Here is a 25,399-nt window from a genome sequence, read left to right on the forward strand (position 1 = left end):
AGGAGCATTACTGACTCAACAAACTTCTCTGCAAACCACCATGAGCCAGGCTCTGGGGACAGAGCAGGGAACAAGACAGGTAAAGTCCCTGACCTCATGGAATCCACATTCCATTTAGGGGTAGGGGTTACAGATAATAAATAAAGAAGCAGACACTCAAAGAAAAATATCAGGTGGTGATAAGTGCTTTGCAGATCACAAAGTCAGCTGACAGGACGGAGAGAGACCCCATGGCTGCGTTAGGTTAGCTGCTCTCTGAGCAGGTCACAGTGAAGCTCAAATTTGAATGACAGAAAGGAGCCAGGCTGACAAAGGTGAGGGGAAGAGCATCTCAGACAGAAGTTACAGCCAGTACAAAGGCCTCTGGGATGGACTGAGCTTGGCATGCCCAGAAACACAAAGAAGATCATGCCGTGTGGCCAGGGCATGGAAAGCACAGGGATCAGAGAGGGAGGAGGGGACCAGATCACACAGGATTTGTAACCAGGAAAACAAGGTTAGATTTTATTCTCCAGGTGCTGCAGTCTGTTGGAGGATTTCAAGCAAGGGAGGTGGCTTCTCTATGGAGGATGGGTTGGAATAAGTCGCAAGCAAGAAGGGTGTGAGCAGACACACGGGAAGAAGCTATTGCAGTGCTCCAGTGAGAGGGGCTGCAGCAGGAACTGAGGCAGCAGTGGAGCTGGAGAGAAGTAATCCCTGTGGGACATGCTTGGAGATGGAGGCACAGGACCTGAGGGTGCATTGAGTGTGGGGATGAGAAAAAAGAGAGAAGCAAGGATTCTTTTTGACTTGGGCAACTGGGTGGATGGGACCTGAGGATGCATTGAGTGTGGGGATGAGAAAAAAGAGAGAAGCAAGGATTCTTTTTGACTTGGGAAACTGGGTGGATGGGACCTGAGGATGCATTGAGTGTGGGGATGAGAAAAAAGAGAGAAGCAAGGATTCTTTTTGACTTGGGCAACTGGGTGGATGGTGGTTGGCTGGAGGTGAAGTACTCATGGGGGTGGCAGGAGTGAGAAGGAAATCAAGAGCTCCTTTTTGCATGTGTTAGGTTTGAGATGCCCATCAGACATCCAGGTAGGTGCGCTGAGTCAGACTTGGATACGTGCGTCCAGAATTTCAGGAAGAGCCAGACCAGGAGACTTCCACTTGGGAGTCATCAACCTATAGGTGGTATTTAAAGCCAGAGGATGAGGTCACTTAGGGATGGTGTGTAGCTAGAAGAAAGAAATGGGCCAAAGATGGGGCTCTAGGGCACTACACTGCAACATTCGGAGGTCAAGCAGGGGAGAAGGGCAGCAAAGAGGTAGAGAAGATGCAGTCGGTTGAAGGGCATTCAGGAGAGAGGAGGACCATGAAGCCCAGGGAGGGGGGCTTGCTCAACTGTAGGGAATGTGGAGGGATCTGGTCCGGTAAGAACAGAGAAGTGACCACCATTGACTTTGGCCACATGGAGGTTACCAGCGCTCTTAACAAGCACAGGCTCAATGTGGGGCTGGGAGAGAAATCCAGTTAGAATAGGTTCAGGAAAGACTGTGAGGCAAGGACCAGAAATGATGGAATAGAAAAATGGAACAGTAGCTGTAAAGGAAGGTGGCATTAAGGGAAGAAGTTTTTTTAAAAAAAAAATAGGAGATATGAAAACGTGTATGTGATTCACTGGTGTAGTAGAGGGACAGAGAAAGATTGCAGGTGCAGGAAAAAGTAAATTCAGCAGCAAAGACCTTGAGAAGGTAAGGTGTGTGTGTCAGGGGTGGCTTTTGCCCTGCCCAGTGGAGGGGTGGTCTTTGCCTTGCACAGGTGGAGGGGTGGTCTTTGCCTTGCACAGGTGGTGGGGTGGTCTTTGCCTTGCACAGGTGGAGAGGCGGCCTTTGCCTTGGGGCAGGGACAGTTCAGCCATAGAAGTGGGGGAAAGTGGGGAGTGTGGGTCCAGATGGAGGTGCCAGTGGTGGGAAGCCCTTGTTTTGCTGCTTTCATTTGCTTAGTGAAGAATGAGACAGTTGCATGCCAAAAAGAGAGAAGGTGAAGGGAGGTGAGTCCTGGAATGAGAGGGAAGGAGGGAGGGCAGCAGATAGGCTGGGGGAGTGAGGATTGCTGCGATGTGTCTGATGCCTGTAGAGATGTGTGACCATAGAGGCTCAGTGAGTCCCATCCTTGCTGTTGTGTGATCTTTCTCTTACCACTCTCAGGAGCTCGAGTGCGATTGGAGTAGAAGGTTGCCGGGATCAGGGCTTTGCTGGGAGCATGCAGCAGAGGGAGGGGGAGCTGGAAGTTGATGACAGTGATGGGCCGTGGGATCTAAGCTGGGCCAGGAAGGAAGCGGAGAAGGATGGTGGTGGTTGTGACAAAGGCTGGGGCGAGGGGCGGGCAGCATGTCTAGTGGCCACAAGTGGAGCTGCGATCCTGAGGCCCAAGTAGGGGGATGCTGCTCAGACCCCTTGGCCTCTGGCTTGGTGTCCAGCCTTTCTTGGCTCACCCAGCGGAGCTGGGTCTCTTCTGTGCCCTCCTCAGAGAAGTGCTTGACCCGGGCTCCCTATCTGCTTACTAAAGACAGATAAAGAAAACTGGTCGATTCTTTCTCTGGGAGGGTGACACAGCCTGGCCTCCTTCTCCCCAACCTGTGAAATAGGGCAGATGGTTTTCCCCATTAACAGGTGTGGAAACTGAGGCTAGGAGAGGTGGGTGACTGAGCCCTTTGCTAAGGTGTGTTTGTGTGGATGCAGAAGCACCAGGAGTGCTGCTGAGCCTGAAAGCCTGTTGGGAGGGGAGGCAGTGTGTGGGCACAGCAGGATCAGATGTCCTCTCAGTGGTCCTGAGTCTCATCCCTGAGCCCTGAGAGGCTTCCAAACAGCACCTAGACCATTCCCCTCCCTCTGCACAGGTTTCACCTGTGCCGTAATTCCTGACCTCTGACCCAGCCCCTGACTCTTCGTCTCCCTCTCAGTGCCAGCCCACCCCCAGTAAATGTCTGGGGCTCTGGAAACACAGCCTCCCTGGTCTCCCTCCTCCCTAGGCTTGCAGGGGCTACTGCCCTGCAGCCATTCATAGCAGAGTGTGGGGTGGGCCGGCAGGGGAGGTGGCTAACTTCCCCTGAGGCATCTCTGTCCTGCTTGCCAGGAAAGGAACCACACAGCCCCCTCATCATCCTGCTCTGTCTCACACCATAGGGCTCTCCCCTTCCTCCCCTTCCTCCCCTTCCTTCTCCTCCCCTTTCCCTTCTTTATTTTAACCTTTGAAATACTCAATATACAGAAAAGGTGCGCACACAGCCGGGTTTTTATGGAATCCTTTGAGAGTAAGTGGTTGATGCAATGCTCCGTCATCCCTGAATACATTAGTGTGCATTTCAAACCAACGAGGACATTTTCTACAAGCCACATGCAACCATCAAAGTCAGGAAATTAAAACGTCATCATTACCTAATGCCCAGATCCTTTTCATGTTTTGTCAATTGTCTGAGTAACATCATTTGTAGCAAAAGGATTTCGTTCAGAATGACACGTTGCATTTAGTTGTCATGACTGGTTCCCTTCAAGCTGGCCTGCTCAGACTTTCCTTGACTTTCATGGTCTTGACACATTGGAAGAGCACAGGCCAGTGTTTTGTAGGATGTCCCCCAGTTTGGGATTGTGCGCTGGTTCCTCGTGATTGGATTCAGGTTCTGCATCTTGGGTAGAAATCTCACAGACAGGATGCTGTGTTCTCATTGCGTACAATTTCGGCTTGTCTCATTACTGACAGCATCACTTAGGCCACTTGGGGAAGGCAGTGTCTGCTGCCAGCCTTCGCCATGGGAAAGCTGCTCTTTTCCCTTTGTAATTAGTAAGATTTTCTGGGGGAGGTACTTTGAGAGCATGTAAATATTTCATTATTCACCAAACTAACATTTATCTGTCTATCTATCTACCTATCTATCTATCTATCTATCTATCTATCTGTCTATCTATCCTGTCTATCTAATCTATCTAATCTAGCTGTCTATCTGTCCATCCATCCAGCCAGCCAGCCAGCCAGACAGCCAGCGTTCATCCATCTACTGATCTGTCCATTCATTTCACTATAGATTCCTATTTTATGTAATAGGTTACAGCTGTTATCACTACTTGCTTCGATACTCAAATTGTCCCTGATTTGGTCACTGATGCCATTCCAGCTGGCTTCTGTATCCCTTTGAAATGCCGTTTTCCCTTTTCCCGAGCCTTCTTACTTTCCAGCACAAGACATTCCAGGCTTGTCTTGTGCCTCCATGCCTCTGTTCTGGAATCAGTCATTTCTCCCTGATTCCAATTAGTGGACCACAGCATTTAGAAACTAAGGTCGGGGCTAGATGCTCGTTGATTTTAGAACGTTGATGCTCCCAGGCTGTTTCACTGGGGAGAGCTGGGGATTGTGTGTCTCTGAGTGAGTGGACACATTTACACAAACTTTATTACTGTATCTATTTATATGTATTGTCAAGTAGGAGCTCACATGATACTTCAGTGTTAACCAATACCATGGAGTTTCCTCTCATTTCCTCCCTTTCCATATTTCTACCTCCTTTCTCTACCAGAAAAACCAGACTCTTATTATTGGTAATATGTTTGCTTACTACTCACTTATAATATGTTTACATACCCCTGAATGTAACCAATCTCCCATTGTCACCACCTCCTGCCCCAGGCAGATGTCTGTCACCCCATGCTGGGATCTGACACCCTTGCTGGGCAGCGTCCCACATGGGCACCCTCCTCTGCTTGAGCCGGGCTGCTGTGGTCCATGCTGACCCGTTGTGGCATCCGCACCCCTACCATTTCCTGGGTTTGCTCAGCCCCACCTCATGGCTTTAGCATGGAATCGTTTATGCTCTGGGTTTTGATGGCTCAGACTTGATTCTATGCTACCGAGGCAAAGGCTTGAAGAGTGCAAACCTTTGTCCCCAAGGGAATAGCTGCCCTCGTGCCCATTCCTCCCTTCACACACCTGTTCCAGGGAGGAGGGACCTCCAGGTCCAGGGACCTCCATAAAGCTGAGTGGTCTTTACTTTTTCCTCCCAGGGTTTGCAACAGGTGGGTAGAGCCAGCGAGGCCACGCAGGGCCCTGGCTGCTGCACCTGCTCACTCACTTAGCCTTGGTGTGTGTACTCAGAGGAGGACAGCTTGGCTGCACGGATGCTTCCATGGAAATGCTTTTGAAATGCTGCAACAGCCAGCCATGTGGGTCTCAGGAGCGTAGGTGTAGAGACATAAATAACAACACGGGGCATAGAATACCTGCTTCCCAGAAGCAATCAGCCTCTCTCCCTCTCCACCTCCGTACAGCTCCCGTGATGGAGTTATTCACATGTAGACACACACCCACAGGAAGCCACCTGCGGCAGGCACGCAGCCTTCACATGGCTTCTTCCACATGTGTGGCCCACACGCGCGCTTCAGTGACTCCTCTTTGACTTAAGCACTAACAACTATTATTTCCTCCCCATCTGATGAGGAAACCAGTGGGCTGCCGAGATGCTTAAAAAGGTAGATTCATTTGTGAAGGTTGACATAGGAGCTCAGAGGTTGATTGCATTGGTTTAACTCTAGAAACAAAAAATGTATAACCCGTTTACTTCCCAGAAAACTCAAGGAAAAAAGCATGCCCCTCCTTGTCCTTCTCCTACTTTTGCATGACCTAAAGCATAAATGTCATAGCTACAAGAAACTTTAAGGTAGCATGACATGAGGTAGTGGCAAGGGACAGCTGGGCCTCTGCAACTTAATGGTAGGGAGGACTTTGTCAAATCTCTTCCCCCTTCTGAGCCTCTATTTGCCCCCTTTAGAGGAGATAGGCCAGTGCACAGCTCGTAAGGTTATTAGGGGCTCAGAGACTGTGGAGGTCAAGTGCCTGATATAGGGCCTCACATACAGTAGGTGCTCAAATGTCAGCTACAGGTCATTTCAGGTGTAAGGTTCTGCACCTTGATGATTCTTGGCCACACACTCCCAGCCTTATATAAGTGCTCTGACAGTAATCCTCTGTGCTTTGCAACCACCCAGTCCTGGGATGATTCTCCTGGTGGGGATTCCACAAGTGCTACACATCCCCAGTTCCTTCCTCTTTTGCTTAGGAGGGCAGTGGTTGGAACATTCTCCTCTGGCCATGTTTTAGCAGCTCTTTCACCAACAGAGGGTCGTGCTAAGAATTAAACACAGCCAGTCAATGGGAGGGGCCCAGATGCTGCACTTGTGGCAATGCACCTCCAGTTTCTGCCTGCCAGCGGTTGTGGAAAACACCATGTCACACTGTTCCTAGCTGGAGACCAAATACAATCTGTTGTCTATTCACATACTGCTGCCAAGCGATACCTCCTAACCTATATCTGGTTGGTGGATGTTTTGAATCAATCCAAACCAAGAGTCACATGTTTTTATTCATATTCAACACCAAGTTGTTAGAGTTGGTCTTCTATCACAAATGACTAAGACGCCCTGCAGATGATCACTCTCCTGGGGTCACTGCTCCCGGTTTGTGATGGGTGTCCTACGGTGAGGGTGGAAGCTCCTACAGGCTGCTCTACATTAGGCTCTTAACCAGCTCCTTGGAATAGGGTCATGCAGCCAAGTCATGAATCCACACAGTACTTTGTCATCTTCTCCCTTAGGATGCCATGGCGGTGGGGCCTTGTAAACGTCCTTGTTGAAGTCCCACATGATATACTGCAAGCATGGGCTCTGGAATCAGACTTTCTGGCTCACACCCAGCTCTGCCAGAATTAGGCTGTGCTCTTGGATGACTTAGTTTATGTGCCTTAGTTTCCTCATCTATGAGACAGGAATTAGTGGTCATACATTCCAGGGCCATTGTGGGGATCGCATAGTTGCTGTTTGTATAACTGTGGCACTCTGGAGTCAGCACCTTACAGGATCCTGAGAGCTGACTGTGAAAGTTTCAGTAAATTTGCAGAATGGATGCCATCATTGGCCATGGTGGAAGTATCTATACCACAGAATTCAGCAAAGGCGACAAACCAGGGCTTCTATCTCCTGGAGAGCCGGTTGTTAAGTATCTCCAGCACACCACTGTATAAAACACAACAGCATCCGGTGGGCACTAAGCAACCAATAAACATTAGCGGTTGTTATGATTATTCCGTTTATTAACTTGACTAATAACCATATCAAAAAAAGAAATGAGACCAATCATATGTAATTATTTTTAATGAGCCTGTAGTAGTGACTGCTGGCAACTGCTACTTCCTTCCCTAACAGCTCGAGAAACAACCCATTAATAATCTTCAAAGTGAGTTTCATGTATTCATCCTTTCGAGTATTATTGAGCCACGTACTAGGTCCTGTGTCGGGCATAGGGGAGTTCGTGGTGTGACTAGCACAGACAACATCTTTGCTCTCATAAAGCTTACAGTCTCGGGGGAAGACAGACATGAAGGCAAGCGAACAAACAAAATCACAACATCATCACAAACTGTGAACGTGCTTAGAAAAAAACAGCATGGAATAATTGAGAAAATGGGGATGTGTTTTTTCCAATTGGGTGGTTGCAGGGGCATGCTGGCTGTCACACACTGCCTGCCAAGAGCCAATTGCGTGCGCTCATCTCTTCTCAACTCTGCCTTGAATGACATCATCTGTGTCGTTAGCTTGAAATTGGCTATGGTGGAAGTATTTACACCACGGACATTGGCGGATGCTACAAACCGGAGCTGTTTTGTTTTCCCTTCTGGAGACCTAAAGGTGAAGATGGGGCCATGCTGAGAGCAGTGGGAAGAGCGTTTTACCTGCCTGTATACATTCCCTCAGGTGGGAGATACTTTCTGTCCCATGGAAGCTTCTGCTGCAGGGAGAGAGTGAAACCATTCCAGATAGAGAAACTTGGAATGGTTTTCTGAATACCTGAGCCCTGGGGAAGCTTTGGTTGCCCTTTACATTCCCATTGATTTCAACCACTCTACCCAGTACCAGTGCCTTCTTGATAACCCCTGCTCCCCTTTGGCCAAGCCCACATGATCATCTGCTTGTGGCCATGGTGCTGGGTATCTGCCAGGCTGGACCACAGGTGGGGTTCTAAGTGGTGGGTGATGATCTCGGGTGGGAAGAGTCCTGGTATTGTTCTGATTCACTGAGTACTCCAGCCACTGCCTAAGGGAGGAGAGAAACCAGGCAGGGTCTCTGGCCAGGGAATGGCTCTGGCAAAGCTAGCAGGGCTTTAGAGCTCCAGCCAAGCACGTTGGGCCCTGAGCCCTCAAGAGAGCCAGAGCGGGCTAGAACATGAAGCCAAGCAGATTACACAGTGAGGACAAAGCAGACCCTCGAGTCCTATGTTCTCGGGTGAGTGGGGGATTTGGGCAGGGAGAGGGGTACTATATTGTGGAAGCGACCACCCTGAGGCTTCATGACACCGGGGGCTCCCTTATGCCACTGCAGCAATAGGGTCAGTTTGCTGCAGGACATAGTCCCAGTCCCACCATTCATGGAGGGTAGAGATATCGACATCCTTTTTCCCATCACTCCTGACCAGCCGCAGGAGAAGGGTAGGTTAGTCCTTTGCCTTCTCTGATTTCTTTTCTCTCAACATCCCAAGCAGTTGCTCCATGTCCACAAGAATCCCAGGTGGTAGGGAGGTCAGATATACACCCATTTGCCGGGTGAGGAAAGGAACCACGGAGAGGCACAAACATGCACAACAGGCCTAGGTTCAGCCCCCACAACTTGACTTCTCTAAACTCCAGTTCACTCCTTAGGCAAAAATAATAATAAAACCAAGCACACAAGTTCCTAGGAGGATTACTGAAGTAACATACGGAAAATCACTCTGCAAGCTGCTATTCAAATGCTAGTAATTTTTTACTGTCACAATTAGGACTAGTTTGAATATCTTTTGTCTCTTAACCCAATGCCCCCCACCTTTTTTCCTTCAACATTGCTCATTCATCCATCCATTCATTGAGTAATGATTCTGAATGTTTGTGAGGAGTCAAATGCTCCGCTATATCCTGGAAATAGGAAGCTAAAATAGACAACGAAGAGAAGGAATGCATACGCTGGAGGTGAGCCGGGCCCTCCGCAGGTGCAAGGCAGCCAGCATGGGTGTCACCAAAATAGGTGTATGAGCAAGGACCAAGGGAGTGGGGAGGGCGAGCGAAGGGCTTTGCTGCAGTGGGGTTGGCAGGGGGGTCAGGGGGCTTCATAGGCTCATAATATGTTCCCATGCCTGTGACCCTCATGCCTCCTCTTGTGTGGCACAGGACCTGCTCTCTGAAAGAGTGAGGACCTAAAAATGATCACTAACTTCAGATCCTACGGGCATCAGCTGACCCTGATGGATGCACTGGAGGCTCAAATGAGGTTGAGCTGGCCTGATTTGTTTAAAAACAAAAATGACCATTAATGAGAATGACTAGATTTCTGTAAGAACCACTCAAACCAAAAAGAAAAAATTCCACTCAAAACCATTTTTAAAAATCTGGATGTCTCACTTACAAACTTGAAGCTACAGGAGAAGTTTTCCCAATTTAGAGTCTATTGCTCCCTGCTGTGCATTTAGTTCTGATTAATCATTCTGTAATTTACCAGCCAGAGTCCTGTCATAGTTCGTTGAACAAACTTTCCATCATCCTTCTGGAATAAAAACATGGATCCGGACGGTGACCTCAGTGCAACCTTGAGTTGATGCAGTTTTAGTGACTTGGGGTCCAGATTGGGCATGGAGCTCTGCAGCCTACGGCTGCTCGGAATCTTAATATCAATAGCTTAGACCCCCTTGAAAATCCTTTGCATGGAGGAGAAGGGAAGACTGCTGCTGTGTGTGCCCACACACTTCCTTGAGCCAGCCTAATGCCCTATGTTGGCCAATAGCCCCTAGTAAGTTGGCATATGCCCCACCATGACAGGTAGCATTTTGTAGATTGGAAAATTGAATCTGGAAGTTTAAGTGGTTGCTGGTGGTGACTACAGACTGCAGGAAGAATATTCATGGTGATTCAGCTGGACAGTTGTATTTGGCTGCACAGAAAGAATGTGACCTCTTAAAAATAAAAAATAAAAGGACCCAGGAAGTGTTGAAAATGACAGTCAAACTGGAACTTGGAGGCACCATCTTTTTTTATTGATGCCAGCTGTCTCCACCAGTGAATCTTGCAGAATGCCTTACACATAACAAGTGCTCAGTACACATTTGAAGAACCGCAGCTTTCTGGCACTGCAAAGAATTTCAGATTCAACCTCCCTTCTTTTTTTTTTTCCTAATGAGGAAAATAAAAGAGAGGAGATGTTTGATTGAGATTAGCTGTCACCTGGAACAAGAGCGTAAGTTGCTGCCTTTTAGGATTCCAGCATAAAGTTGTGCAGGTTGAGCACAAAAGCACCGGAGAAAGGGGATAAATGGAGTCTAAAAGCCAGTCCAGCACTGGATTGAAGGGAGATGGGTCCTTTTCCTTTGACAAAGGGCTCATCTCCTCACCAAGCCAACTGTGGGGCCATGTCCACACTGAGAAATGTCTGCACTTGAATAGATGTAGAAGGGTGATGTTAAGAGAACAGAAGTCCAGACTGTTGAGGATTTTATAGGGTTAACTGATTCCTTCTGCCTTTTTGCAAGCAGAGATTGTGATTTTTGCTATTCTGTGACCCCCTATATCTAGCTATCATCTATCTGTCTTCTATATCGTCTGTCTATCTATCAATCATCTCTTGTAATCCATATTGATGAGGTTACAGCAACTAATTGATAAGAGGGCTAACACAGAGAACATGAGCAGCAGTAACTCTCTTTGGGGGACACCTGAGGAATATTTCATACATACCTGTTTGTTAGACTTGATGATGGATTACTCCTTGTCTGTTTCCTGCAGCTCCTAATAGAGTCCTGTCCACAAAAATTGTCATGGGTGGAGCCTTGTACTAAACACTCAGGGTAGAGGTCATGAGGCCCCGGAGGCAGGAGAAAACATCTTCTAGGGCTACAGAGAGGTCATGATATAAATGCAGGAGGAGGAACTGACCCATAGCCACACAGACACAGGCAGACATTAGGGAAGAACCTTCAAGAAACGTGCAAAGAAAAAAAAGTAAGGGAGGCCATTAAAGACAATTTTTAAGTTTACAAAACTAAGGCAAGCCAGGCTTTGCATGCAAATGATTAGGCAGGTGAGTCATGCATATATTTGTCAGTTCTCTTTCAAAATAAGAAATAAATTAGGCACAATGTTTGCATTTTAAAAAATCCTTTACTTTGCCACTCTATGAATTTTCTTAGTGCACCCTGGGCCCTGCTCTCAGTTGAGTTCCTGCCCTGGGGTCTCTGAGACCCAGAGAAACTTCAACACCTACCCCTCCCACTCCCACCAAAACTTTTGGAGAATAGCTCTTCCTGCTCATACTTTTTAATGGTAGGGGCTTTTGAGCAGTAACCAGTCAGGAGGGCCACCCAAGACTGAACCTCACTGTAGAGTGACCAGGGTCAATGCATGTGTACAAAGTGTCTTACTCCTTGTAGAGCAGGCTGTATCCAATTAAAGCTTGATTAAATACCACATAGTGGAGAGTAAACTGTTATTAGAAGCTGCTAATGGACACTCCATCACCTGCATTATTCACTGTGAAGAAACTAAATAAAGCCAGCAAACGGTGTGCTCTTTGCCATCCAGGAGCCTCAGTCCAAATTAATTTTCATGAAACTCAGATTCTAGGCAGATGTGGTTCTTTTGATTTTTACTCCTAAGTACAGGCCATTGTTTGTTTTTCCCAGCAAAGCTCAGGCATTGTGTGAGTTTTTTTCAGAGGATATTGCAGAATGAGAGTTTCAGAGCATGAATATATGTAACCTTTCAAAGGAAATGTTCAGAAAGAACAAACCAACCAATACATCAGCCTGCCAATTTAACAGTGGTATCTAAACTAGCTTGCTCAGATCTTTACAGCAACAAATACAAAAAGGGACTCCAAAATTATGTGTATGTCTATGTCAGTTTATCAAAAACTCAACTAAGAAGTGTCTCCTCCCACAGAGGAAACTGAAGTTCTTGAAGGTGACTCATAAGAAGAAGCCACTGGGGACAGGGGCTTTGACCCTGGCCCTATCTGCTTCCCCTCTCCATCTGTGGATCAACAAGCAGGAATATGTCAGATAATGTCCACCTTCTGTTGAGCTTTAGCTATGGGCCTGGCACTCCACATGTGTTATTTCATTTGATCAATACAATCACCCTCTAAATTGATATTGCTTTTCATGGTTGTTCACTTGGGAATTGGAGTTTAGTTAGGTCAAGTAACTTGTCTAAAGTCGTACAGCTAATGGTGAGAAGATCTGGCACTTAAACCTAGGTTTCCCTGACTGCAGAGCCCATGCTCTCATCAAAATATCAATTTCCTCCCTCACAAACACTAGAAGGGCACCCATTTGGTATTGAGCCTGGCTGTGAACAAATGCAAAAGCAATAGAGGAGGCATCTATGCTTTCTTTGAGTTTGAATTGTCATGGTAACCTAACATAGGGGTGGGGGCCTTGAGAAGAGTTTTAGAGTCATGTCATATCAGATCTGGGCTCTGTTTCCACTGCTGCTACTCAACCTCTCTAAGCCTCGGTTTCCTTAGTTGTAAACAAAAATAACAGTTGACCCCGACTACCACAGGGGTTAGGGGTGCCAATCCCCCACACAGTTGAAAATCCAAGCATAATTTTTGACTCCCACAAAAGTAAGCTACTATCAGCCTACTGTTGACCAGCAGTCTTGCTGATAACTTGGTCAATTAACACACATTGGCTGGCTGTGGTGGCTCATGCCTGTAATCCCAGCACTTTGGGAGGCCGAGGCGGGTAGATCACCTGAGGTCAGGAGTTTGAGACCACTCTGGCCAACATGGTGAAACCCCGTCTCTACTAAAAATACAAAATTAGCCGGGCGTGGTGGCACATGCCTGTAATCCCAGCTACTTGGAGGCTGAGGCAGGAGAATCGCTTGAACCTGGGAGGCGGAGGTTGTGGTGAGCAGAGATCACGCCACTGCACTCCAGCCTGGGCAACAAGAGTGAAACTCCGTCTCAAAAAAAAAAAAAAAATTAACACATATCTGGTATATGTATTATATACTATATTCTTACCATAAAGTAATCCAGAGAAAAGGAAATTGTTAAGAAAATCCTAAGGAAGAGGAAATATATTTACCACTCACTGAGTGGAGTGGATCAGCATGAAGGTCTCTGTCCTCATTGCCTTCACATGGAATAGGCTGAGGAGGAGGGAGAGGAAGGGCTGGCCTTGCTGTCTCAGGGGTGGCTGGAAGAGGTGGAAGGGGAGGCAGGCACACTTGGTGTAAATAAAAAAAAAAAATCTGCGTGTTCGTGGACCTGTGCAGTTCAAAGCCAGGTTGTTAAGGGTCAGTTGTAATGTGCTTACCTCACAGGGCTGTTGGAAGGATGACGTGATACCACGCATATAACGGGCTTAGCGCTATGCCAGGCACATAGTAATGGCTCAATTTATTTTACAGGGAAAACATGCAGGTAGTTTTCAATTATGTTGGTATAAACTAGTTTGGTAAAGGGTGAGCTACATCATATCCTAAAAGTAGAATCAGAATAGGGCTGAAACCTGGAGATCTGGCCCTGAAGTGAGGTGCTTGTGGTTCCTGGGTGGGGTCCCTGCAAAGTATGGCCCTGGGGTTCTTATTTTCCAGTCATCACCATATTTAAGGGTAAAGTGGAAGAGGTGGAGCTGCCTGTGGAGAAGGTGGACATCATCATCAGCGAGTGGATGGGCTACTGTCTGTTCTATGAGTCCATGCTCAACACGGTGATCTTTGCCAGGGACAAGTGGCTGGTAAGTGTCCTGCATGCTGTCCCCGCGTTGGCCGGCTGGCTGTCCTGCTCCTCTACCCAAGGCCTGCAGCCTAGGAGGCATACGAAGACTTCAGAGAAGACTGAGGCCAGGAGGTCACTGCCCCAAGCCCCTCTCTCTAGAGCAGATCTGTATCAGGGAACAGAATGGTTGCCCCGGGTCCAGCATGTGTAACCATCAGAGTGGACTTCCGTGGGTCTCACCGCAGCCTCTTTTGCAATAACAGACATCCGTTCTCTCTTGTCGAGTTAAAGGTCCGTTTCGGTCAGCAAGTACTTAGGACTTGCATGGCTGCCAGAGCCAGGTGTGCTATTCATCTGGGCTTCTCCAGGCCAAAGTCGTAACATCTCTCACTGCTCCTCACTGGATTTACCTTCACCTCACCTCATTTGTCCTATTGACTCCACCTAGGTCCCTTAAATTTTCCTTGCTCCAAAATAAAAATTGAGCACTGCTGTCCTAGCCCTCACCCCAGACAAGGTGACAGTCCACTGCATGAGAGATGGTGGCAAGGGGGTGCTTGTCTGGTGACTCTATGTGCAGTTCAAAATGTGATGTCTTTGTCAGGTGAATAGATTACGAGACCCATTTCCCCACAATTCATCAACAGAAACCTGGAGGGCTTATGTTTCCAGACCGGGCAGCTTTGTACGTGGTAGCGATTGAAGACAGACAGTACAAGGACTTCAAAATCCACTGTAAGTCCCCTCTTGCTTCTCCGGTGGACTTCCACTGCACAATTGGGGTGGGAGGCACTCCAGTGGGCCCGAGATGAGCAGGCAGTGACATGAACACCATTGCTGTCCCTGAAGAGGAGCTTATCTGGGACCCTTTCTGGAGTCTGCTCTCTAAATGTTTCTATCTAGTCCCAAGGGTGTTAGGTCTACAGACAGAAAATAAGCCATATGGCTGGGATGAGAGAAATGTCCTGGGGTGAAAGAATGAATGCAATGTGAATTAAAAATTGGACTGAGGCAGCAGAAGCTGAGTTTTTGCAGAGATCAGCAGGGCAAGTGGCTTGAAACCTGTCAAGGTTCAGTTAGCCCAAAAGTCCACCGCAGGGGTCTGAAGTAGCAGGTCTCTTGCCAGGCCAATTGTTTTGAATCCTGCCTCCATTCCATTCAAACTTATCAAAATAATATTGATTCTCTTATGCAAATACATATTATTTGAGGTTCTTTTGAGGAATAGATAGCAGAGGGGGTGGGAAAGAGTGGAGATTTTGCTTTGAACAATCAAACGAAAGGCGAGTGTGCATGTGTGCATGAGGCAGGGGCTCGTATCTAAACATGTATTCTTAATGCCTTATCAGCTAGGCGTGTGTGGTTCTCTGAGAACAATAAAGCCAAAAAACTTCTCCTCCCCCGCAATGTTTTACCTGGTCTGAAAAGGGCTGTTATCCTATTTCTCGTAAAGGGTGACACTTCTCTGTGACACAGGCCTGATCCTTAATGAGATTATACCAAACATGTTTTTGTAAAGTTGAACATGGCTGTGTCTCCTCAACCAGAACCAAATACAACAAAGGAGCAAAGAACCCCTCAAACAGGCAAACACCCAAAAATCCAAATTAAAGCAAGAGGCAGAAGCTCCAACCTATCCATCAGACTGGGCACATCTGCGGTTCCTGCCCCAACAGGGTGGTCCATTCCTACTTGGCAAGATTACTGTGGAGGGGTTCACAGATTGAGTAGAAGAATAAATGCCTCCAAGAGGCTAAGACTCCATCCACAGTTCAACAAATTGTGGCTCTGTGGATTTAAACAATTGCCATCTAATCGTCGTTAGTGGCACTGATGAAAACTCGGCTGGACTCTGCTATGGATGTGTGTATTTGTGTGGGTTCATGCCTTTCTGGAAATATAAACTCAAAGTGTGAAGTTCAGAGCCAGGTTCAGAAGAAGACAAAAGTGGGACAGCTGTTTGAAGCTCTGTGCCCTGGAAACCGTCTCTGGTTGCTGTCTGCCTCCAGCCAATCTGGTGTGATTTCCACTATTTGACCTCCTGGGGGAAGGAGGCAAAATACCAAATGAGGACAGTGAGAGGCAGGGGGGCCCAGGTTAAATGCTTTGCACACTGCCAGCCCTGGGTTTAAATCTTGGCTTTGCCATGTCCTAACTGGGTAACCTTGAGCAAATTATCTAATACCTTTGGGCCTCAGTTAAGGGATAATTTTCTCAATCCCACAGACTTGTCATGAGGATTAAGTGAGATGACATATATTAAAGGACGTGACAGTTCTTGGTCCTATAATGGGACTAGATGGGAACTAGTTTCTGACTGTGTAGCTAAGCCCCTTTCTGCCCCTGGCTCTGGCAAGTGAGCCTGACTGCCAAGCCCCTGGTGGCTCAGAATCTAGGACAGATGTACTCTCATGGAAGATTGCAGACACAACTCCACAGTGAGTGTTGATCAAATGCATGTATAAATAGGACATATTTTGCCCTGGAGCTGCATTTTGGAGTTCTTGCTGTGCAATTGTACTGAATAGTGTTTTGAGGAGGAAAGCTTCTAGGTACATTCTTCATTGTCAAGTTCACTTAGATATTTATTGAGCTCCAACCCGAGGCACACCTCTTTAAGAAACTTTCTCATGGTTTCCACAACAAAGATACCTGTGTCAGGAGCCTTTGCAGGTATGCACATTGCAATGAGCCAGCCTGGGGCAGGGAGGGGCTCCTAAGGCACTGGCCCCAGACTGGAGATCATGTGATTTCTTTGATTCTCATTGCAGTGTTCATACCTTTTGGAAAAGGAAAAAAAAAAATCTGAAAGTTAGCACCATGTTATCTTGTGCTTGTTCTAGAGTCTCTGAAAAATACCCCAACCTCCTCCCCACCCCAAAAGAACACCAAGAAACAGACACTTAAAATGTATTTAAAATACATTTTCTATTTACATTTTTGAAAATAATCTATTTTTTTGTAAAGGAAGCAAACCCACTTAGAAATTCATTTCAAATAAATGGAGACTTTGGTTACTATGAGTTCTAAATCAGAAGTAAAGCACAAAGGTTGCTGGTTGCTAAGGCAACAATTGTAAGCAATTTTCTATTGGCTCAAGAACCAGCTAAGAAGGAAAAATTTTGAAATGAGGCAGGAGAGTGAGACATGTTCAGCCCCTTTCAGAAAGTAAGTTGTTAGAGGGAGAGCTTTCTTTCCTTTCCTCTCCTTTCCTTTTCTTTTATTTCCTTCCCTCTCCTTCCCTTCCCTCCCCTCCTTTCTTCTTCTTTCTCAACCACACACAGCAACATGGGAGTGCAAGAATGAGGTCAGTGCAGAACCTGCCCTCCATTTGCTCACCAATGAATAGAGACCACATAGAGACAGAGATAAATATCTGGCATATACTAGGCTCACAATACATAATTTTAACGAAGGAAGGAAGGAAGGAAGGAAAGTGAACCAGCAGAGGGATGTGCAAGGTGTAGTATTTAACTCTTAGAGAGGAGCAATCATTTTACACACATTTTCTACTATAAAGGAAATACACAGAATTTCAAAAATGGAAGGAAACTCGGTGGATGTTCTATTCAATTTCATGCACAACCCATGAATTGTACCCAGTGCATGAATCTACACCCTGCTGAGAATGAGAGAGATGGGCACCAGTTTCTTGGCTGATGAGAAGACTGAAAGAAAGACCTCATGCAGAGGTGGCAGTGCTTATAGCTTGATGGTTGAAGGGCGGCCCTCTTGGATGGCTCAGCTGCTGTCTGTGGGCTTCACTTCCACTCATGACATCCAGAGTTTCCTCTGGTTCCAGCCCATTTTATGCAAGGATTCCACTTTCTTCATGAGAGCCTAAAATGTGTCAATCTAGTGTAAACACTTTCCCTTCTGCACAGAGGAGAATCTGTAAGTAGCATCTGGTGGCACTTGTTCTATTTTTCTCTGACCTCATTCTGAGGCAGTCCCATTAGCCTCATCAGAGAAACTCAGATGGTTGGGGCTGGGGTGGTGAGGGAGGATGTAGCTACAGCTCTCTGCAATCAGAAATCACATTTCTCCCCTGGTACTTAATTTTCTTTCCTCAGACTGTTTTTGAGATTTCTGTCTTTATTGATTTTCTGCAGTTTGATTCTGATGTGTCTAGGTGTGTTTTTCTTTTTATTTATCCTGCTTGGGGTTACATGGAATTCTTGGAACTGTGGATGGATTGTTTCGTTAGTTTAGAAAAATTTCAGCCAGTATCTCTACAAATATTTTTTTCTGCCTGATTATCTTTCTCCCCTTCTTCAGGAACTCCCATTATATGAAATAATGTTTGATATTGTCCTATGGAGCTTGGATCCTCTATTTTTTTCACCCCTTTTTTCTCTTTGTGTTTAAGTTTGGATCATTTTTATTGCCCCGTTTTCAACTTTATTGGTTATTCCCTGATATATTCATTCTGTTAATAAGTTCATTTTAAAAAGTCTTCTTTCCTTATATTGTTATTTCGATTTCTAACATTTCCACTGGCTTTTTTAAAAAGTTTCCATCTCGCTAATGAAATTCTCCATTCATTGATGCACACTGTCCACCTTTTCCACTAGCTTCTTTAACATACTTAGTATAGATACTTTAAAGTCTTGTTGGATAATTCTAACATCTGAGCATCTCTAAATTTGGTTCTATGACTTTTTTCTTATGATGATAAGTCATATTTTTCCCTTTCTCATGTGTCTTATAATTTTTCATTAATGCTGGGCATTGTGAGTAAAAGGACCAGTAGAGACAGGTGAATCACACCTATGTCCAGAAAAGAGCATTGCCTCTGCCAGGCTATTAGAATGAGGGTGTGTGTGAGTCAATCTAGTCTGTATTAATAGTAGATTTGGGCTTTGTTGTTGCTTTAATTACATACATTATGCCATAGTATAGTCCTTTTTAGGAGTCTGTTTTCATCCATTAACAAAAGCTTCACAGGCCTCTCTGATATTATTTTTTAATTTCTAGATAATCATGATATTTCTTGATGACCAATGGCTCTTACCCCACATACACTTATTTGGCATACAGCATACAAATAATTATTGCAACAAATAATTAATGTGATTTATTTGTATCCTACTCCATCTCTGCTCCACTTCTGATAAAAAGGGCTACTGGGAAATAAATGGCCAGCAGAAAGAAGAAAAAAAAATCTAATCCCTTGGGTGATCTGTGCTCTGAATGATTGAAGGTGGGGCAGTCCAGCTGAGGAGATAAGACCCAAATTAACCCATATAAAGGTAACTAAAACACCAGGCATTGCAAAACAGTGCAGGCATTAAATGTTTGGGAATGAATCTCAATTCAAAAAACATTATCTGTGAGCCTATTCTGTGCTAAATGCTGTACTATGGGTGTTGAGGGTACAGGAGAGGTTATATGGTCAGGAGCGTTTAGAGAAGGTCTCACAAAGGCCATGAGACATTAAGATCACCATTTTTGGGACTTGAAGACAGTAAAGATCATGTACCCCAAAGGTTTCCAAATGGTTGGAATTGTCTGTATAGATTTGTAAAACTCCAGCTCCCTGGCTCTCAAATCTGGAGATTCTGATTCAGTAGGTCTGGCGTGGGCCCTGGAGTCTGCATTTTAAAAACTGTTCCAAGTGATTCGAGAACACAGAACCACTGAACCAAAATCCTTATAAGTAAGCCCAGAAAAAAGGATTGATTTGCACATGGCCGCACAGCTTGCATGGCAGCAAAGCCAGAGCTCAAACCACATAATGATAACCACTTTTATGTATCAAGTGCTTTCTGTGTGCCAGGCAATGTCTTATGCACTTTACGTATAATCACATTTAATCCTCATAGCAATCGTATGGGATTACCATCTTTATCATCATTTCCATTTTACAGAATCCTTAGAAACCAAGGCTTAGAAAGGTTATATTCGTGCCTAAGATTACACAGCAAATACGTGGCAGAGCTCAGATTTGAACTCCAAAGCCTAGGCCTTTAACCATTACATGCATTGACTCTCAGGCTTTTGCTTAGCACTAGCAGTGAACTCAAACTCCCGGCAGAGTCCAGGGAGAAAAGAGCAGGTGCATAGCTGCAAGTCTCTTGAGAAAGACACAGAAGGCAATGTGTTTTGGCGTGTACGTTTTATCTGGGGAGAGGGTGGATAGCTATTTCCACATTCTAGAGGGGAGTCTTCTCTGAAACCTGCCCTGTTGCCAACTAAGCAGCCTCCTCCCCACGAAGTAGGTTTTAATTGGGAGTTTGGCACCAGCCTCGGGTGATTTAATGGGATTTGATGGGCATCTTTTCCTCAAACTGGAATTTCACAAGCACTCATCCTCTGGGATTACCTTCTCTGCCTTCTTTTCGCAAGAAAGAAGCTCTTTGTGTGCCTTATAAAAGAATCAGAGTCAAAGGAGAAAAGCTGTCGCTGACCGTTCACACCTCCTGCCGCACACACCCACTCTCCTAAACACACACAGGAACATACGTTCCCTAAGGTCCTGTTTGTTTGGTGAATGTTTTAAAATAAAATTTAATCCTGTAAGATTTTAGAGAAAAGCATTTCTACTTCAAGGCATTTTGAAACCCATTGAAAAAACAGATGAATGAGATTCAGGTGCCCGGAAACTAAAGAGTCTGCTAAAGCTGTCCTCTCTGCACTGTAGGGAGAGAAATCTTGCATTCCTGGTTGCTGTCACGGCTGGGCCATGGCAGGTGAAGGATTTAGGGGACATGCTGGGCTTGAGCCCTCGCCCCCCTGTTTCCCTGATGTGTGATCATGGGCCAGATATTATATGAGAGCCAGATGCCAACTTCTCCCAGCCACAGTTTTCTCATCTGCAGCATAGCAATATCCTCATGTGGTTGCTGGGTAGATTAAATGAAGAGTCTGGCCTGGACTGACTGATCAATCAATGACTGCAATTATTGGCCAGGCATGGTGACTCATGCCTGTTATCCCAGCACTTTGGGAGGCCTAGGTGGGCAGATCACCTGAGGTCAGGAGTTCAAGACCAGCCTGGCCAACATGGCGAAACCCCATCTCTACTAAAAATACAAAAATTAACCCGGCATGGTGGCGGGTGCCTGTAATCCCAGCTACTCGGGAGGCTGAGGCAGGAAAACCACTTGAGCCCAGGAGGCGGAGGTTGCAGTGAGCCCAGATTAGGCCTCTGGGCGATGGAGCCAGTCTCTGTCTCCAAAAAAAGAAAAAGATAGCAATTATTACCATATTAAGGGTGATCCTGGGCCATCAGACTTGAATTAATTTCTCACCAACCCCCTAGATCTTTCTCCCTCCCATACAAAGTATCTTATGAGTAGCCCAAAGGGGACAAGGAGCACGGCTGACAAGGAGAGGGTTTGTGCTCCACTTGGGGGTAGTTCCTAATGGGGTGGATCCTTAGTGAGTGCATCTTGGCATACAAGGAAGGCAGAGATGCTCCTGGACCCACCCAGGTGAGAAAACTGAGGTTCAGAGAGGTTAGGTCATTTGTACAAAGGCTGACCAGTAAGTGGTGGTGCTGGAATTTAAACTGTAGTTGATTTCACGTTAAAAGCCCATGATTCTCTGTGCTGCATTAAAGGTTCAGTGGATGGGGACAGGAAAAGGGAGAGAGATGGGCCTTCTAGGTCTTCTAGGTGTGGAGAACAGCTCGAGACAGCATAGGAATGGGAACGTAGAAGACAGATAAGGGAGTTCATAGGAGACGCTGCTGGCTTGGGGAGGGGACAGGAAGGAAGAGTCAGCTAGCCTGGGTTCTAGTCTTTGCCCTGCTGCACTCTAGCTATAGGAGCTTGGAGCAGTTTCCCAGCCTCTCTGAGCTCTAGTTTACCTAACAACAAAGTGGGACTTACCTTTTCCCGAGGTAGAAATGGAAATGGGAGTGAGCATTTGGCACATTGCAAAGTGCCCCCAGGTGAGCAGTTCTGCCTCTATTTCGATGCAAGGGAACTCGAGCTGCCACTCAGCCCTCAGGCACGCTGTGCTCTAGGACTCAGGAGGGTTGGGTGAGCTTCTGGGGGTCCTGCGCCTGCCTTCACGTCTTGCTCTGCTCCCACAGGGTGGGAGAATGTCTATGGCTTTGACATGACCTGCATCCGGGACGTGGCCATGAAGGAGCCTCTAGTGGACATCGTGGATCCAAAGCAAGTGGTGACCAATGCCTGTTTGATAAAGGTCTGGACACTCATCCGGGGTGGACCTGGGTGTGCTGGGAGCCCCGCTGTGCCACCCTGGAGTCCAGGCAATGCCGGCTCCTGCACAGCCCCCACCTGGTGAGGCAAGGCTGCCTTGGCCAGAGCCTGTGATGCTCCCTAAGCTCAAGTCAAAAGCTGGCAGTCCGCCTGGACACAGCCACTGAGAGAGTGGCTCCATGGTGGCACGGATGTGGGAGGGCCCCAGCACAGGGGCCCTGGTGGCGTGCAGAAGGGTGGGGGTGCAGGGAAGAGAGGGGCATTGCAGGAGAGGACACCTGGAAGAGGAGAGCGTGCTCAGGTTTGGGGCAGTTGGTCCATTCAGAGGTAGACGTCTCTCTTAGGGAAGAAATCCAGGACCTCAGTATGCTGTGTAATCATCATCATGCTCTTGCCTCCACACACACCTTTGCCCCAGCGGCCTGCCAGATAGAGCTTCCAGCTGCCCCTTCCTGAGCGTCCCTGTTCATGCTCTCGCCTCCACATACACCTTTGCCCCAGCGGCCTGCCAGATAGAGCTTCCAGCTGCCCCTTCCTGAGCGTCCCTGTTTGTACATGCTCTAAACCAAGTGTGTCCAACCTGCATCCTCTGGGCCACATGTGGTCCAGGATGGCTTTGAATGCAACCCAACACAAATTCGTAAACTTAAAACATTAAGAGACTTTTTTGTGGGATTTTTTTTTTAGCTCATTAGCTATCATTAGTGTTAGTGTATTTTATGTGTGGCCCAAGACAGTTCTTCTTCTAATGTGACCCACGGTAGCCAAAAGATTAGACACGCCTGCTCTAAACACCTTTGCCCGAGGCTTCCTTCAGTGCAGATGAAGAACAGCTGCTCAGCGTCTTTGCCACACCAATCCCTAGTATATTCTTATTATTAAAAATTCAAACATGTCCAGTTAGATAGAATAAAGGTGAAAGGTGCCCTCCGCCTCCCTCCAGCCCCATCCTCCTCCAGAGGTAACCACTGTTCACAGGCTGGGTTGCCTCTTCCAGTCCTTTTTGTATGCATTTGCATTATATATGCTAATATATTATGTTGAACCATATAAAACTATTGATATTTGACAGTTTTTTAAAATAGAGACATCAATTTCATATAATTCAAGCCAAAAAAATTTTTTTTGAGACAGAATCTCACTCTGTCACCCAGACTGGAGTGCAGTGGCACAATCACAGCTCACTGCAATCTCGACTAACTGAACAGTTTCATGTACCACAAGCTATTTTTTTTTTGAGACAGGATCTCTTTCTCTCTCTGTCACCCAGGTTGAAGTGCAGTGGTGTGATAATAGCTCACTGCAGCCTCACTGAGGCTCAGGTGATTTTCCTGTCTTAGCCTCCTGAGTAGCTGAAACTACGGCTACGTGCCACCAGGCATGGCTAATTTTTTTTTTTTTGTATTAATGGGGTTTGGCCATGTTGCCCAGGCTGGTCTCAAACTCCTGGGCTTAAGTGATCCACCCACCTCAGCTTCCCAAGTGCTGGGATGACAGACATGTGCTACCACGCCCAGCCCAGGTTAATTTTTAAATTCAAAAATCAGCCCACCTGAGTCTCATCTTGCTAACATGCCGGCCTACTGTGCTCCTGCACGCATCATTCTTTTTCTGAAAGTATCGGGGCAGGGTACTGGACTGGAATATTTATAGTAGGATAAAGGGATTGGAGTTCAGGGCCACTAAGGACGGGGGTGGGGGAGGTTTCTGAAAGACTGACACAACTGCTGCTTTGCCCATGTGAGAACTGTCCTTTGTCCTGGACACAAGCCTTGCTAGGAAGAACTGCACCCGTTGGGCTGGAGTATCACTGTGGACTTTAGAAAGGTCCTCACAGGGCAAATAAACCTAGAATGAACCTCATCAGACCCCATCAGATGCCCCCTCTCTTTAGTAGCATCCTGCCTGAGAGGTTTGGCTTTGAGTCTAAGCCTCAGACTCTCCATTCACAGGGTTCTCACTACTTCATTCAGCCTTTTCTGGGTCCAGGCAGGATTAATTGTGAGCAAATGTGTCCTTTTGTTTCTTTCTACCAGTCCCTCTGTCCCTGAAGCCTCTTCCTCCTTGCCATCCTAAACAAGAACAAGGAAAGTATGCCCCCAGCAAGAAGCTCACCCATAGTACAAGGCACTTCTGTAAATGTAGAATAGATAGAAGTCCACTAGTGCAACTGAATTTGCCAAAATGACATGTGGCAGTGATATTTACCATTAGGCATCTGCACGTACTGGCTTCAGCTTGGGGATAAAATTCCTTCAATATTCTTGGACCCCAGGTTGCTCTCTGCCCCTGACCCAGGCCCCATTGGCAGGTGTAGCCACTGCATTTCTGTTTGCACTGCCGGACACGTCAGCCACTGTCCTGGCCCTCTCCACTCCCCAGGCAAGAACTAGCAGGGGCCTTTCAGTTGGTTAGACCTGAGCATATCCAGGGGCAAAGCAGCCAAGGAGCGGCTGGAGGGGTGTGTGTTCCGTACACTCCTTATGAAAACTCCCGGGGCTCTGGTTCTGTCTCAGGACTCGTGACCTGTGATGATTTTCTGTCCCACGCTGGTCCCTTTCTTCCTCTGTGTTCCTGAGAAGGATGACGATTGTCTGTGTTTGCTTCTGCTTCCAGGAGAGCCCTTCCGCCAGCTCTCTCCTGCTGATGTGCTAGGCAACATCTTGCCGAGCCTGTTGGGAAAACACTTGCCCTTCTTCACACACTTAATTGCTATTTTCATCGCTATTAACATTGCAGAGTGTGACACTTTATTATAATTAAGGTTCTATTTTAACCAGACTTCTGCTCCGAGACATCCATTTCTAACATTGTTTAACGGTGGGGATCGCAGCGGCCAGGGGCACTTCTGAGTAATTTATGCTGGTGAAGCCCTCTGCTTCAAGCGGGTCACCTGAGGCCAAGTCAGTGGGTCTCCCTGGGGTCTCAGAGCTGCTGTTTCTGCTGCAGAAAAGAGGAAGCCTCCTAGTCGAGGGGCTGGGCTCTGGGGAGTCAGGGTAACTGGGGCTGATTTGGTTGGGGGTTGGGGAACCTGAGCCCAGAGGACCTTTGTGTTTTTGAAGCCTAGCTACAGCTGATCCCATCCTCACAGATGGCCTGGACCCCCATTCCAAAAGACCACCTGCCCTTATTGTTGCCATTATAATGTGCGGCTTCAATACTTTTGGTCCTAAAGGCTTTTGTTCTATCAGAGGCCTCTATTAAGATGCAAATGTCTCAGGGATCTATTGAAAGCTGTCAGCTACAAGAGTTGATAGCTGACATTTTGTTGATGGACATCTGACAGCAAGATCCTTTAGAGGTGGAATTCCTGCCAGATGGGGGGTGCGTGTGCGTGTGTGTGTGTGTGTGTGTGTGTGTGTGTACGCGTGCGCATGCGGGATAGAAGGAGAAAGTAACCACGTCTAGATTGTAAGCCATAAGGAATCATTGAAGGTTATAGATCCAGAG

General features: G+C 46.8%; 1 protein-coding gene across 7 annotated transcripts in view, besides 1 other annotated feature; it reads left to right on the forward strand.

The window, feature by feature from the left end:
* Window positions 1-25,399, forward strand: part of PRMT8 (protein arginine methyltransferase 8) — a 212,625-nt gene that overhangs the window by 173,706 nt on the left and 13,520 nt on the right. For 6 of the 7 annotated variants that reach the window (NM_001256536.1, NM_019854.5, XM_017019644.2 and 3 more), the window contains 3 exons: window positions 13,652-13,794; window positions 14,423-14,510; window positions 21,817-21,932. In NM_001256536.1, coding sequence (NP_001243465.1) covers window positions 13,652-13,794; window positions 14,423-14,510; window positions 21,817-21,932 — 347 coding nt within the window. Of the gene's footprint in view, window positions 1-13,651; window positions 13,795-14,379; window positions 14,511-21,816; window positions 21,933-25,399 lie in introns of those variants that run through there. The other variant, XM_047429158.1, reaches the window with a different exon arrangement.
* Window positions 24,451-24,950: an enhancer, noted in NCBI's record as "H3K27ac hESC enhancer chr12:3688671-3689170 (GRCh37/hg19 assembly coordinates)". NCBI's record gives its function as "activates a minimal SCP1, AML or CMV promoter by ChIP-STARR-seq in naive H9 embryonic stem cells {active_cell/tissue: H9 hESC(naive)}" and the evidence as "EXISTENCE:reporter gene assay evidence [ECO:0000049][PMID:30033119]".

The sequence above is a fragment of the Homo sapiens genome, chromosome 12, assembly GCF_000001405.40.
Source record: "Homo sapiens chromosome 12, GRCh38.p14 Primary Assembly".
NCBI lineage: Eukaryota > Metazoa > Chordata > Mammalia > Primates > Hominidae > Homo > Homo sapiens.